Here is a 13,909-nt window from a genome sequence, read left to right on the forward strand (position 1 = left end):
GCTTCTTGGTAATTAACACATCAGAATAAATTCACTTTTCACTCAGCCTAGTCAGCTCGAATGACTTGAGAGAATAGAACACAGGACAGGTTAAATCTTTCCAAGACAGGAGTGATAGGAGAGAGATGGCTTGATAAAGTTCCTAAACATGGGATACTATCAGCAGAGGAATGAGCATCAGAGTGGAAAGGCTAGAGAAAAAGTGTCCCTGGGAGCCTGGGGGCCAGGATGCTAGAGTGAAAATGAACACTTATTGAACGGTTCAAAGGACTTCAGAGAGCTGTGCTTCCCAACCTCCTTTTCAATATCAAAATGTGTCATAAATTACAGTCAACACACGTACACATGCTCACATAATTGTGCATTTAGTACCTGTTGCTTTAAAAAAATGCTAGCAATCAAATACTTTAAAGCAAAAATGCATTTTATGAAGGTACTGCTTATATAAACATTTGAAAAACAATAACATATGTATCTGAGACAAACAGATGTCATTTTGCTTTAGCAGGTAAAGATATGACTGCACCTTCTTTATAGACACCAACATGCTGGGTAGTGAAATTCTCAGAGACTTGTTAGCATGTAGTACAAGTAACACCCATCTAAGTAGTAACCTTTATGTGTAGATGAATGTTAAAGCTTCCTAATGACAGCCTGCCTCAGGTGCCCTCTTTCAGTCACCCTGGAATCACTCCCTGCTTATGTGGGGAAAGTGACCTTCAATAGTTTTCTATTTTCTGTATAATTTGGCCCAAACGTTTTAGTCTGGATTAAAACCTTTTCTCCTGCCTCCCCTCAAAGTGCCTCAGCTACACTCACCTCTCTGGCCCCCTTCAGCAATTCAAGTGAATTTGAGCTTTAATCTTTTGCACCTTGCACCTACCTCTCCGTCAGAACCCCATTTCATCTGAGCTGGTTGCTTTCTATGTGCCTTTTTGGCTTTGGGATGGACACTGTAACAAGTGATTTGCATTTCTGTGCCTCACTGTACTATGCCCCTCTCTAAGGCTGGCACAGGTCTCCTTCATTTTATACTCTACGACCTAAGAGTGCTTATAGCACAATGGGTGGTTGGTATCTATTAAACAAATGAATGTGTAAATGAATGATAGAAAGTAATTGGTGAAAAGTACGCTGAGATAGAGTCTGATCACAGGCAAAAAAAAAAAAAAAATGGAAGAATTAATAGTCCAATGGCACTTTTCTTATAAAACTGAATTACATAGTCAAACCATCATTTAAAATAATCTTACAAGGAAAACAACATTAATGTGCGTCTGTTGAGACGGATTATGCTGTTTTGGAATTAGGAAGAGAATGTGCAGTTCGCTGTTTGCTTTCAGACTGTTTGTTTGTTTTGTTTATTAAACTGGCGTCTCCAGCTCTGCAGCCCAGCCTGTGGAACCTAAATGGCCCAGGTCCCAGGAGTTCCCATCGGAGCCGTGGGCGTCCCCAGGGTTTAGAAAGGCTCCCCAGGGGCCCAAGCTGCCGGCGAGTGCAGCTCCCGCCGGCGCCACCTCTGCGGTCTGGAGCGGCGAGGACGATCCCAGAGAGGCGCCCCCACTGCCTCGGTCGTCGGGTTCTTAAGTTTTTCTCTCCAAAAATTTAATGGATAGTTTTCTTTTGCTTCTGTTTCTGACTTGATTAAAGAGGCGGAAAAAAAGGAGTTTGACTCCAAGAAGAATGATAGTAGCAGAAGGCGCATCTGGCTTTACTTTCCAAATTCCATCAAAGTTTGTGTTTTGTTTCATTTGACAGCGATCCCGTGAACGTCTCCTCTGGGGAAATGGCGCGACCAAAGCCCGCCAAGCCCAGCCTGCGAACTGGAGGATTTATTAATGTAATATGTTAAACAAAACCTCGACAGACACAAACTCAAAGGAAACCGTGCGCTCCTTAAGTCAAAGGCATCTGTTCTGGAAGCAGAACCCGGTTTGCTGTTGGTAACCAGCGTTAAGAGCAGGATTTTTAAACATGATAATGGATAAAATAAAAGAAAAGCGAAGTCCCGCGGTCCTCTGACTCCTATTCATTATCTCCAGCAGCATATGGGACCATTCTCCTACGTATCCTCGCCTTTTTCTTCTGAAAAAGCAAAAGCAACCAAGCCTGTCCCGCTTCAGAGCAATCCTACTCTTTGTGCCTGAGTAGTGCCACCACCACTACTTCCTCCTCCTCCCGCCTCCTCCTACCCCGCCCTCCTGCCGCTGGCTTTCGCTCTGGCGAGGAGGCGGCCGGCTCCCTTTGCGCCGGGAAGCCGGAGCCGCGATTGGGCGACGGTCCCTGAGCCTCCAGTTCTGCGTCGGTTTCAAGGCTCCTCCCTCCTGGTGAAAGACAGACTACGGGGCGCCTGGAAACCGGTCCGAGGGCGCGCGAGGCAGAGGAGAGGGAGCGAGTTGAGGGATTGACACAAATGGTCAGGCGGCGGCGGCGGAGAAGGAGGCGGAGGCGCAGGGGGGAGCCGAGCCCGCTGGGCTGCGGAGAGTTGCGCTCTCTACGGGGCCGCGGCCACTAGCGCGGCGCCGCCAGCCGGGAGCCAGCGAGCCGAGGGCCAGGAAGGCGGGACACGACCCCGGCGCGCCCTAGCCACCCGGGTTCTCCCCGCCGCCCGCGCTTCATGAATCGCAAGTTTCCGCGGCGGCGGCGGCTGCGGTACGCAGAACAGGAGCCGGGGGAGCGGGCCGAAAGCGGCTTGGGCTCGACGGAGGGCACCCGCGCAGAGGTCTCCCTGGCCGCAGGGGGAGCCGCCGCCGGCCGTGCCCCTGGCAGCCCCAGCGGAGCGGCGCCAAGAGAGGAGCCGAGAAAGTATGGCTGAGGAGGAGGCGCCTAAGAAGTCCCGGGCCGCCGGCGGTGGCGCGAGCTGGGAACTTTGTGCCGGGGCGCTCTCGGCCCGGCTGGCGGAGGAGGGCAGCGGGGACGCCGGTGGCCGCCGCCGCCCGCCAGTTGACCCCCGGCGATTGGCGCGCCAGCTGCTGCTGCTGCTTTGGCTGCTGGAGGCTCCGCTGCTGCTGGGGGTCCGGGCCCAGGCGGCGGGCCAGGGGCCAGGCCAGGGGCCCGGGCCGGGGCAGCAACCGCCGCCGCCGCCTCAGCAGCAACAGAGCGGGCAGCAGTACAACGGCGAGCGGGGCATCTCCGTCCCGGACCACGGCTATTGCCAGCCCATCTCCATCCCGCTGTGCACGGACATCGCGTACAACCAGACCATCATGCCCAACCTGCTGGGCCACACGAACCAGGAGGACGCGGGCCTGGAGGTGCACCAGTTCTACCCTCTAGTGAAAGTGCAGTGTTCCGCTGAGCTCAAGTTCTTCCTGTGCTCCATGTACGCGCCCGTGTGCACCGTGCTAGAGCAGGCGCTGCCGCCCTGCCGCTCCCTGTGCGAGCGCGCGCGCCAGGGCTGCGAGGCGCTCATGAACAAGTTCGGCTTCCAGTGGCCAGACACGCTCAAGTGTGAGAAGTTCCCGGTGCACGGCGCCGGCGAGCTGTGCGTGGGCCAGAACACGTCCGACAAGGGCACCCCGACGCCCTCGCTGCTTCCAGAGTTCTGGACCAGCAACCCTCAGCACGGCGGCGGAGGGCACCGTGGCGGCTTCCCGGGGGGCGCCGGCGCGTCGGAGCGAGGCAAGTTCTCCTGCCCGCGCGCCCTCAAGGTGCCCTCCTACCTCAACTACCACTTCCTGGGGGAGAAGGACTGCGGCGCACCTTGTGAGCCGACCAAGGTGTATGGGCTCATGTACTTCGGGCCCGAGGAGCTGCGCTTCTCGCGCACCTGGATTGGCATTTGGTCAGTGCTGTGCTGCGCCTCCACGCTCTTCACGGTGCTTACGTACCTGGTGGACATGCGGCGCTTCAGCTACCCGGAGCGGCCCATCATCTTCTTGTCCGGCTGTTACACGGCCGTGGCCGTGGCCTACATCGCCGGCTTCCTCCTGGAAGACCGAGTGGTGTGTAATGACAAGTTCGCCGAGGACGGGGCACGCACTGTGGCGCAGGGCACCAAGAAGGAGGGCTGCACCATCCTCTTCATGATGCTCTACTTCTTCAGCATGGCCAGCTCCATCTGGTGGGTGATCCTGTCGCTCACCTGGTTCCTGGCGGCTGGCATGAAGTGGGGCCACGAGGCCATCGAAGCCAACTCACAGTATTTTCACCTGGCCGCCTGGGCTGTGCCGGCCATCAAGACCATCACCATCCTGGCGCTGGGCCAGGTGGACGGCGATGTGCTGAGCGGAGTGTGCTTCGTGGGGCTTAACAACGTGGACGCGCTGCGTGGCTTCGTGCTGGCGCCCCTCTTCGTGTACCTGTTTATCGGCACGTCCTTTCTGCTGGCCGGCTTTGTGTCGCTCTTCCGCATCCGCACCATCATGAAGCACGATGGCACCAAGACCGAGAAGCTGGAGAAGCTCATGGTGCGCATTGGCGTCTTCAGCGTGCTGTACACTGTGCCAGCCACCATCGTCATCGCCTGCTACTTCTACGAGCAGGCCTTCCGGGACCAGTGGGAACGCAGCTGGGTGGCCCAGAGCTGCAAGAGCTACGCTATCCCCTGCCCTCACCTCCAGGCGGGCGGAGGCGCCCCGCCGCACCCGCCCATGAGCCCGGACTTCACGGTCTTCATGATTAAGTACCTTATGACGCTGATCGTGGGCATCACGTCGGGCTTCTGGATCTGGTCCGGCAAGACCCTCAACTCCTGGAGGAAGTTCTACACGAGGCTCACCAACAGCAAACAAGGGGAGACTACAGTCTGAGACCCGGGGCTCAGCCCATGCCCAGGCCTCGGCCGGGGCGCAGCGATCCCCCAAAGCCAGCGCCGTGGAGTTCGTGCCAATCCTGACATCTCGAGGTTTCCTCACTAGACAACTCTCTTTCGCAGGCTCCTTTGAACAACTCAGCTCCTGCAAAAGCTTCCGTCCCTGAGGCAAAAGGACACGAGGGCCCGACTGCCAGAGGGAGGATGGACAGACCTCTTGCCCTCACACTCTGGTACCAGGACTGTTCGCTTTTATGATTGTAAATAGCCTGTGTAAGATTTTTGTAAGTATATTTGTATTTAAATGACGACCGATCACGCGTTTTTCTTTTTCAAAAGTTTTTAATTATTTAGGGCGGTTTAACCATTTGAGGCTTTTCCTTCTTGCCCTTTTCGGAGTATTGCAAAGGAGCTAAAACTGGTGTGCAACCGCACAGCGCTCCTGGTCGTCCTCGCGCGCCTCTCCCTACCACGGGTGCTCGGGACGGCTGGGCGCCAGCTCCGGGGCGAGTTCAGCACTGCGGGGTGCGACTAGGGCTGCGCTGCCAGGGTCACTTCCCGCCTCCTCCTTTTGCCCCCTCCCCCTCCTTCTGTCCCCTCCCTTTCTTTCCTGGCTTGAGGTAGGGGCTCTTAAGGTACAGAACTCCACAAACCTTCCAAATCTGGAGGAGGGCCCCCATACATTACAATTCCTCCCTTGCTCGGCGGTGGATTGCGAAGGCCCGTCCCTTCGACTTCCTGAAGCTGGATTTTTAACTGTCCAGAACTTTCCTCCAACTTCATGGGGGCCCACGGGTGTGGGCGCTGGCAGTCTCAGCCTCCCTCCACGGTCACCTTCAACGCCCAGACACTCCCTTCTCCCACCTTAGTTGGTTACAGGGTGAGTGAGATAACCAATGCCAAACTTTTTGAAGTCTAATTTTTGAGGGGTGAGCTCATTTCATTCTCTAGTGTCTAAAACCTGGTATGGGTTTGGCCAGCGTCATGGAAAGATGTGGTTACTGAGATTTGGGAAGAAGCATGAAGCTTTGTGTGGGTTGGAAGAGACTGAAGATATGGGTTATAAAATGTTAATTCTAATTGCATACGGATGCCTGGCAACCTTGCCTTTGAGAATGAGACAGCCTGCGCTTAGATTTTACCGGTCTGTAAAATGGAAATGTTGAGGTCACCTGGAAAGCTTTGTTAAGGAGTTGATGTTTGCTTTCCTTAACAAGACAGCAAAACGTAAACAGAAATTGAAAACTTGAAGGATATTTCAGTGTCATGGACTTCCTCAAAATGAAGTGCTATTTTCTTATTTTTAATCAAATAACTAGACATATATCAGAAACTTTAAAATGTAAAAGTTGTACACTTTCAACATTTTATTACGATTATTATTCAGCAGCACATTCTGAGGGGGGAACAATTCACACCACCAATAATAACCTGGTAAGATTTCAGGAGGTAAAGAAGGTGGAATAATTGACGGGGAGATAGCGCCTGAAATAAACAAAATATGGGCATGCATGCTAAAGGGAAAATGTGTGCAGGTCTACTGCATTAAATCCTGTGTGCTCCTCTTTTGGATTTACAGAAATGTGTCAAATGTAAATCTTTCAAAGCCATTTAAAAATATTCACTTTAGTTCTCTGTGAAGAAGAGGAGAAAAGCAATCCTCCTGATTGTATTGTTTTAAACTTTAAGAATTTATCAAAATGCCGGTACTTAGGACCTAAATTTATCTATGTCTGTCATACGCTAAAATGATATTGGTCTTTGAATTTGGTATACATTTATTCTGTTCACTATCACAAAATCATCTATATTTATAGAGGAATAGAAGTTTATATATATATAATACCATATTTTTAATTTCACAAATAAAAAATTCAAAGTTTTGTACAAAATTATATGGATTTTGTGCCTGAAAATAATAGAGCTTGAGCTGTCTGAACTATTTTACATTTTATGGTGTCTCATAGCCAATCCCACAGTGTAAAAATTCAGGAATTCAATGAAAAAAGTCTACCCTTAAACCCTCAGATCAGTCTTTCCAAAGAATTACTCTGTTTGCATTGTTGTGATTGACATTTGTGAAGTCCCAAGAAAAGATCTGTTTTCATGACAGTAGAAAATAGAAGTTTGCAAATTATTTCTTTACTCAAAGAGGATTAAAAGAGAACTCTAATTTTAATATTAAAGCTTTCTTTTCTTTCAGGGAATAAATTTACATGACTTTTTATATTATGGAGGTTTATTTTTAAATCATCACCTTTCTCATATTTTTTAGAGGTATTGTCTTATCTCTTCCATAATCTTGGATATTACAAAACCCTAAATAGGCAATCAATAAATGGTTAACTGGCTATGTGTTCATAAACATTTTAAACAGCAATTGGGTTTGTAAGGCTGTTTTGTTGTTTGCTTCTGAAGACCCCTTTTTTTAATCGTTCAAGGAACCTTCTCCAGATAAATTATCTAGTTGGTCTACTCTTAGTCAGAATTTATGCATGGGTGTATATATGTGTATATATAGATAAGTATACACATAAGTATATATGCATTAATTTTTATAAAATAGAGATGTAAAGTTTACTTACATTTCATAATATGGAAATATGGTTATGAGAAATGGAAAATGCTAGATGGAAAACCTCAAATACCTTTACAGGTTAAAAATATCTTTACTAAATTTTCCCATGAAAACATTTTGTGATAAAATGACAAGGGACTAAAATGAAGATCATTGATACAATAGAGTTACTTTCCTTGTTACAATGCAATTGTCTTATAAGTCATTATTCATTTTAAGGAAAATCAAAAAAATTAGATCTTACTAAAAATGTAGCATTTGATTTTAAGTAGCAAGATGCAATTTTGTGTTCCCTTTTTCTTTGTTACATTAACATAATATAGTAGATAGAGGGTTTATTGTATAGACATACACAAAAAAATAGTATTCTTAGGCCAAATTCACACATATCTCCTCACTAAGTAGTTCAATTAGATAATTTCTGGAAAAACATGTTTTTGACATTAATTGCTATCCAAAACTATATTTTAAAGCAGTCTTATTGGAGGTGTCCTTAACATGATGTAACTATAAATTTGATGCAGAAAGGTTTTACATGCTGTGGTTAAATAGCTTTAGAAGACATTTTTAAGTCACCACCAGCCTTTATTCTTAGAAAACAATTTATTCTAAATGATGATGCATATAGAAAACCAGTGTATTCTTTTATTTCTTTTAATACTGGTGGCAAAATAGGACGTGTCTGGAAAACCATAAGGCTACTTGGGATACTGTCCCATTAGCATTGCTGTTTCCATGACAAACCCTATTTTCAGATGGTTTGATTTGCCTATTTTTTTTTTAAACCAGCTATAAATTGGGGTCAATTTCCCCCCTCACAGTGTACTTAATTTAGCTTTTGGAGTAAATATATAAGTAGTATGAAAGACTTCTGAAGCTCTTCTTTCTAAAAAAGCAGTTTTCCACTTAAGCTTTGTGGGGACAGAGAGTCATATTTTTAATTTCAGAGCCAGCCAGTGTCAAACACGTGCAAAAGAGCCGGGCCGGATTTTTTCAGCTTGTCCTATGGTAGTCACTTGTCAGCCTGAGTTTACTGGCCTGGTCCTTTTGTCTCCACTGTAAGTACTGAAGCCTTCTGGTGTAGTTGTATCACCTTAATGTCCAGCATTTAACTAGGAAAGGAGACTACAATGAAGAGTTGGTGGCCAATTAAGAAAAATAATAGACTACATCATAAATCATTTCAGGACTTGAGTGGCCGCAGATCACTGTCCCTGATAGCATGTTTCAACCTTGGTATACATTTTTTTTAAGATGCATATTTACTGTGTGTGCTTTTGCTTTCTAATCCATCTATTGACTATTGGCCACAATTTATATAATGCACATGCAATTAATTGAAACCTGTGTCATGGCATTGGATATCTCTGATTCATTTCTTATTATAATAGTCTGTGTAACTGGGGCCTGAGAGATTAGAAGCAAAATGTAGTCGTACGTATGTCTAGAGGTGGACGCTGGTGATATTGTCATTGAATACTTTGCAGAATACACTAATGTCAAAGGCTTGCAGGATTAATGTGTAGGAACCAACATAAGACATGGAATATATATAAGAATTATCTAGTTACATGACTAAAAAGGAATTGCAATACTATCTTAAATTGAAGGCTTTTATTTCAATGTCCTTACATTTAAAATGGGATCTTACAAGGGAAGTACCAAAAAAGTAAAGTTTATTTTGATGACTCTCAAGATATATATGTTTGTTTTGAATGTTGGCAGATGCCAATAGCCCTTAACATTTGAAAAATGGTACTTGAACATCAATTATGTCTCAGAGTTCCCTTAAACTTTTTGGGCTTAAATATTTTTATTCATTTTGGTCATACCTTTGACAATGGATATGTTAAACTTTAACAATTATAGTGACAAAACAGCTTGCTTAGAACCTGGAAATTAAAACACAATTTCTAGAGTAATTTTTCTAAGTTGTATCATGTTTTGTGGTGACAAATGTCTCTACTCCATTACAGAATCAAGTTGCTATTCAAATATAATACTTCCTCTGGGGATCTTTGTTTATAGGTTGGTTTGGGACCCTAATAACAGGTCAAACAAAAGGGTTTCTCAAAGAAATTTTTCTAATAATATATAAGTTCAAATACAATTTATAAGTACATGTACACAATGAACATATAATAAGTATTCTGTGGGTCATCGTCAGTTTTATGAGTCAAGCAGATCCTTAAATTGCTTGAAAGAATAAGATACAATTTTCCAAAAGAGATTAAGTAAACTATTTCATTGGTATTCTAAAGAGGTGTATTTTTGAATGATAAAATGTAAATAACACTGCATTTTCTTGAGGTATTATTAATACACTAGTTGAATGGCATATTTGTGTGACTAGTAATTCTAAAAGCAAAGTATTAAAATAGCAATGATTTGTACATTTTACACACACATTTTTTAAAAGATGAAATTGACTTACCTGAAAACAATAGTTTTTGTTTTAAAATTTAGATGTGTATTTTATAAAAAAGACCTCAAGAAATTTCATTCATAGTATAGACTTTCAAAACATGTTCATAGCAATACAGTGATTAACATGAAAAGGAATCACTGTTGCTGCTTTGATATAGTTCTCTGTGGCCTGGATTTTCTTTCTTTCCTTTTTAAAAACCAAGTATCCTCTAATTTGTGGATATCTCCATGTTTCAGATCTCAGTACCTGTTTGAATTAAATTTGCAGGGGAATAACTGCGGGATCCCCCCATAGACAAAGTGTGGCCTTTATTTCCTTTCAAGTTGGCAGTGTGTCCTTGCTTAAATGAAGCACTCTGAGGCAGACTGTTCTCTTGCTCTTGGAAATGCTTGTCTTTACAATTGCAGTAGCAAATACCTGGAAGTCATACAGGCTAGTTAGATACATATTCTAAATGTCATGTGCTGCTTGATCATTGTAAGGATTTTTTTTCTTAAAAAGTAGATTTGGGGACTATTCTTGACCTTATCTTTCCAACTCTTGGAAATATTTTAAAAAGTTAACTTCACCAAATATTCTGTCAAAAACTGTAGGCCCCTCAGATAGAATGACCAACTGTCCAGGTTTGCCCAGGGCTGGGAGTTTTCTTGGCATGTGGGAATTTTAAGTAGTAAAACCAGGAAAGTCCTGGGCAAACTGGGATGACTGGAAACCCTATTCCATGGATTAAATTGTGCTCTCACAAAAATAGAGTAAAAGCTTACATGTTGGTCTCTGGTCCAGCATTGAAAGTACTCCACAGTGGCTGTAGCCTTCTTAATTACCAGATTAAAAGTCAATGAACACAGCCCTTTGTAACTGGTCTTCATAGTACCAATCAACAGAAGCTGAGTGGACCATGAAGATAAAATGGAACAAACTACCTTGATTATCTTGGCCATTCCACCTTTAGCCTTTGCCTCCCGAAGAAATGGGACATAGGTGTAGGCTTCCAACTAGCCACTGAACCCTGTTCATGAAATCAGGTTAAATGGCTGCTTTTAGAAAAGGCTCTCAAAAAGTATTCCCTTGGAATAAATCATTGTTTTGTAAAAAATTGATGTTAAATTTTACCAGATTGTAAGTAACTATCAGGCTGCTGCATGTGTGTGTGTGTGTGTGTGTGTGTGTGTGTATGTATGTACATATATATAATTGTATATGTACATATATATTTGTATAATAAAGCAATACATTAGGATGAGATTATAAACTCAAGCAGAGATTTCCCCAAATGGCTGTACAGCAACAGTTTATATAATTATTATACTTTTTTCCAAGGTAAGTAGGGTTAACACCCATATCTTTCCTCAAATTAAAAGTTGTATCTACAAAAAGGAAAAAGTAAACTAAGTCTTAAAAATTATACTGTGATTATTGAAAATTGTAGAATACATTTTGTGGACCGTGCAATCCTTCACAATGGATTTCACGATGGGTTTCCCTGGAAATGTGAATGTAGACCTTCACGTTTCTACATGAAACTCTTCCATCAGAATTGGTTCACTTCTTTTTTGAGCTTACTGTCATCCTTCTTGTAAATGCACATGCAGTTTCACTGCCTTTATTGTTGAAACCACAATACTATTCTTGCTATCTCTTAATTAAACTCAATGTAAATGAATTTTAAAAGACACATAGGTAATGTAATTATTGCAAGAGGTACCTACACATTAGACTCTAGAGCTAATTCTCAATATGGGACAATTTTGTTCTCTAGGAGACATTTGGCAATATTGGGACACATATTTGACTCTCATAACTGAGCACTGAAGGGTGCTGTTTTAGTCTGCTTTGCATAGCTATAAAGAGATACCTGAGACCAGGTAATTTATAAAGAAAAGAGGTTTATTTGGCTCACGTTTCTGCAGGCTGCATAAGAAGCATGGTGCCAACATCTACTTCTAGTCCACACCTCAGGAAGACTTTACTCATGGTGGAAGGCAAAGGGGGTGCAGGCCTGTCACCTGGCAAGAAAGGGAGCAAGAGAGAGGGAGGTGCCAAACTCTTTTAAACAGCCAGATCTCCTGGTAACTAACAGAGTGAGCACTGGCTCATTACCAGAGAAGGGCACCAAGACATTCATGAAGGATCCACCCCCATGACCCTAACACCACCCACCAGGCCCCACCTCTAACACTGGGGATCACATTTCAACATAATATTTGGGGGGGAAAATCACCCAAACTATATCAGGTGCTATGGGCCTTTAATGCGTAGAGGCCAAGGGTGCTGCTAAACATTCTAGAATGCACAGGACAGCCCATGACAATGAATTATCTTATCCAAAGTGCCAAAGTTGAGAGACCTTGCTTTGGAGGAGTGATTAAAATTGCAAATATACTTTTTAAAATAGTGAAATATATTGAATTTATAAAATACAATTGAGAAAAATATGGATTTACTGTGTATACAACATGGGCTTTATTTTTATCTTTATTTTTTTGAGACAGAGTCTCTCTCTGTCCCTCGAGCTGGAGTGCAATGGTGCGATCACAACTCACTGCAACCTGCCTCCTGGGCTCAAGTGATCCTCTCACCTCAGCCTTCTAAGTAGCTGGGTCTACAAGCATGCACCACCACACTCGGCTAGTTTTTTAAACTTTTTGTAGAGATGAGGTCTCACTGTATTGCCTAGGCTGGTCTTGAACTCGTGGTCTCAAGTGATCCTCCTGCCTTGGCCTCATAATGCTGATATTATAGGATTGAGCCACCATGCCTGGTGGGCTTTACTTTTGACCTGCAAATTTTCTTTTAGATTGATGAATAGCCTGATAATATTGCATGGTGTCCAAAGTCTTTTGGCCTGTTTTGACAAAATACTGTAGACTTGGTGGCTTAAACAACTGACAATTTTCACAGTCCTGGAGGCTGAGAAGTCCAAGATCAAGATGCCAACAGATTCAGTTCCTGGTGAGGGCCTGCTTCCTGGCTTGCAGACAGCTCTTGTGGCTTTGTGTTCCCATGGCCTTTCCTCAGTGCATGCAGGTGGAGAGAGAAAACCATTGTCTTCCTTTCCTTTTAAGGACACTAACCCCATCATGAGAGTTCCACCCTCATGACCTCATCTCAGCCTTATTACCTTCCAAAGGCTCCATCTCCAAGCACTATCATATTGAGGGTTAGGCTTTAACATGCATTTGGGGGGGACATAAATATTCAACTCATAGCAGGCAATAAAATAAAACTTTTATTATTCAAATCTAGACAGGGACATACGGTATCATAATTTCAGTGGGAAAAATCTGTAAATAACATTAAGCAAGTTTAAAAAAAATCTCTGAAAGGCATTTAGTAGTATTATGCTGTTATACTTCATATTCTACACTTCCATTTTCTTTTACACATTTCCCTGCATCATCACAGGTGTTATGGTATGGGGAAAAACTCTGGCCTAGGAGACAGAAAACCTGGGTTCTAGTCTTGATTTATTTGGTTAAGGGACCTTGAGTGAGTCTGACCCACAGGACCTAATGAATCAAATAGAGACAATAATGAAGTAATAGATATAAAAGCCCCATTATAAATGGTGAAGCTCTGTAAAAATGTGAGAATTATCATTCACGTTAAGCTAATTAAGGAGGAAGTTGAGGATCTGAAGGCTTCTGCTCAGCATTGACTGCCTCCCCTTTAGAAAACGAAGTTCCAGTCACTGAAGGGCCGCAGGATGACTGGAGACCTTTCTGTTGTCTTCCTAGTCACCTCTTCTCTGATTTCATCACCACACTTGAGTTCTCCTGTGTACACCTGGAATATTTTCTGTTTAAGTTTTTTCCAGACCTGGTAAATTTCATATGAATTAGTCTGCAGTACAGCTACTATGGCATTGGAGAGGGGGCTAAGTCCTAGTTAGAAGAAAGAAGGCCCCTCTTCTGAAAGGGCTGGAATGGAGCAAGAATTATTACAGGAGTGTTCTGAGGTCAGAGGAGAGTGGGGCTTAAGAGTATGTATGTTCCAGGTCCAAATGTGGCAAATTCACAGACAGACCTTCTGGGTTGAGAGTCCTCACAGAGTGGGACAGTGCCCAGGAGCTGTGTTGCTTCATTTGTTCATTGACAAGTTGGGGTAGATGTGAGCATCTTGCCGGGAGAGGGGAGGCTCATGTCCTACA

At 44.2% G+C, this 13,909-nt stretch overlaps 1 protein-coding gene across 1 annotated transcript, besides 3 other annotated features; it reads left to right on the forward strand.

Annotated features, from left to right (window-relative positions):
- Positions 2,145–2,324: an enhancer, noted in NCBI's record as "active region_26254". NCBI's record gives its function as "activates an Ori minimal core promoter by ATAC-STARR-seq in GM12878 lymphoblastoid cells {active_cell/tissue: GM12878}" and the evidence as "EXISTENCE:reporter gene assay evidence [ECO:0000049][PMID:35858748]".
- Positions 2,360–9,253, forward strand: FZD1 (frizzled class receptor 1). Its single transcript, NM_003505.2, has one exon. It carries the CDS (start codon positions 2,808–2,810, stop codon positions 4,749–4,751), a length of 1,944 nt encoding a protein of 647 aa, NP_003496.1. The 5' UTR covers positions 2,360–2,807; the 3' UTR covers positions 4,752–9,253.
- Positions 2,445–2,954: a silencer, noted in NCBI's record as "silent region_18362". NCBI's record gives its function as "represses an Ori minimal core promoter by ATAC-STARR-seq in GM12878 lymphoblastoid cells {active_cell/tissue: GM12878}" and the evidence as "EXISTENCE:reporter gene assay evidence [ECO:0000049][PMID:35858748]".
- Positions 3,045–3,104: a silencer, noted in NCBI's record as "silent region_18363". NCBI's record gives its function as "represses an Ori minimal core promoter by ATAC-STARR-seq in GM12878 lymphoblastoid cells {active_cell/tissue: GM12878}" and the evidence as "EXISTENCE:reporter gene assay evidence [ECO:0000049][PMID:35858748]".
- Positions 9,254–13,909: the final 4,656 nt, after the last annotated feature.

Source organism: Homo sapiens, chromosome 7 (assembly GCF_000001405.40).
Source record: "Homo sapiens chromosome 7, GRCh38.p14 Primary Assembly".
Classification (NCBI taxonomy): Eukaryota; Metazoa; Chordata; class Mammalia; order Primates; family Hominidae; genus Homo; species Homo sapiens.

Excerpts from the sequence above, each read along its gene's own strand:
- FZD1 (NM_003505.2), top strand. The coding sequence starts at position 2,808 with ATGGCTGAGGAGGAGGCGCCTAAGAAGTCCCGGGCCGCCGGCGGTGGC.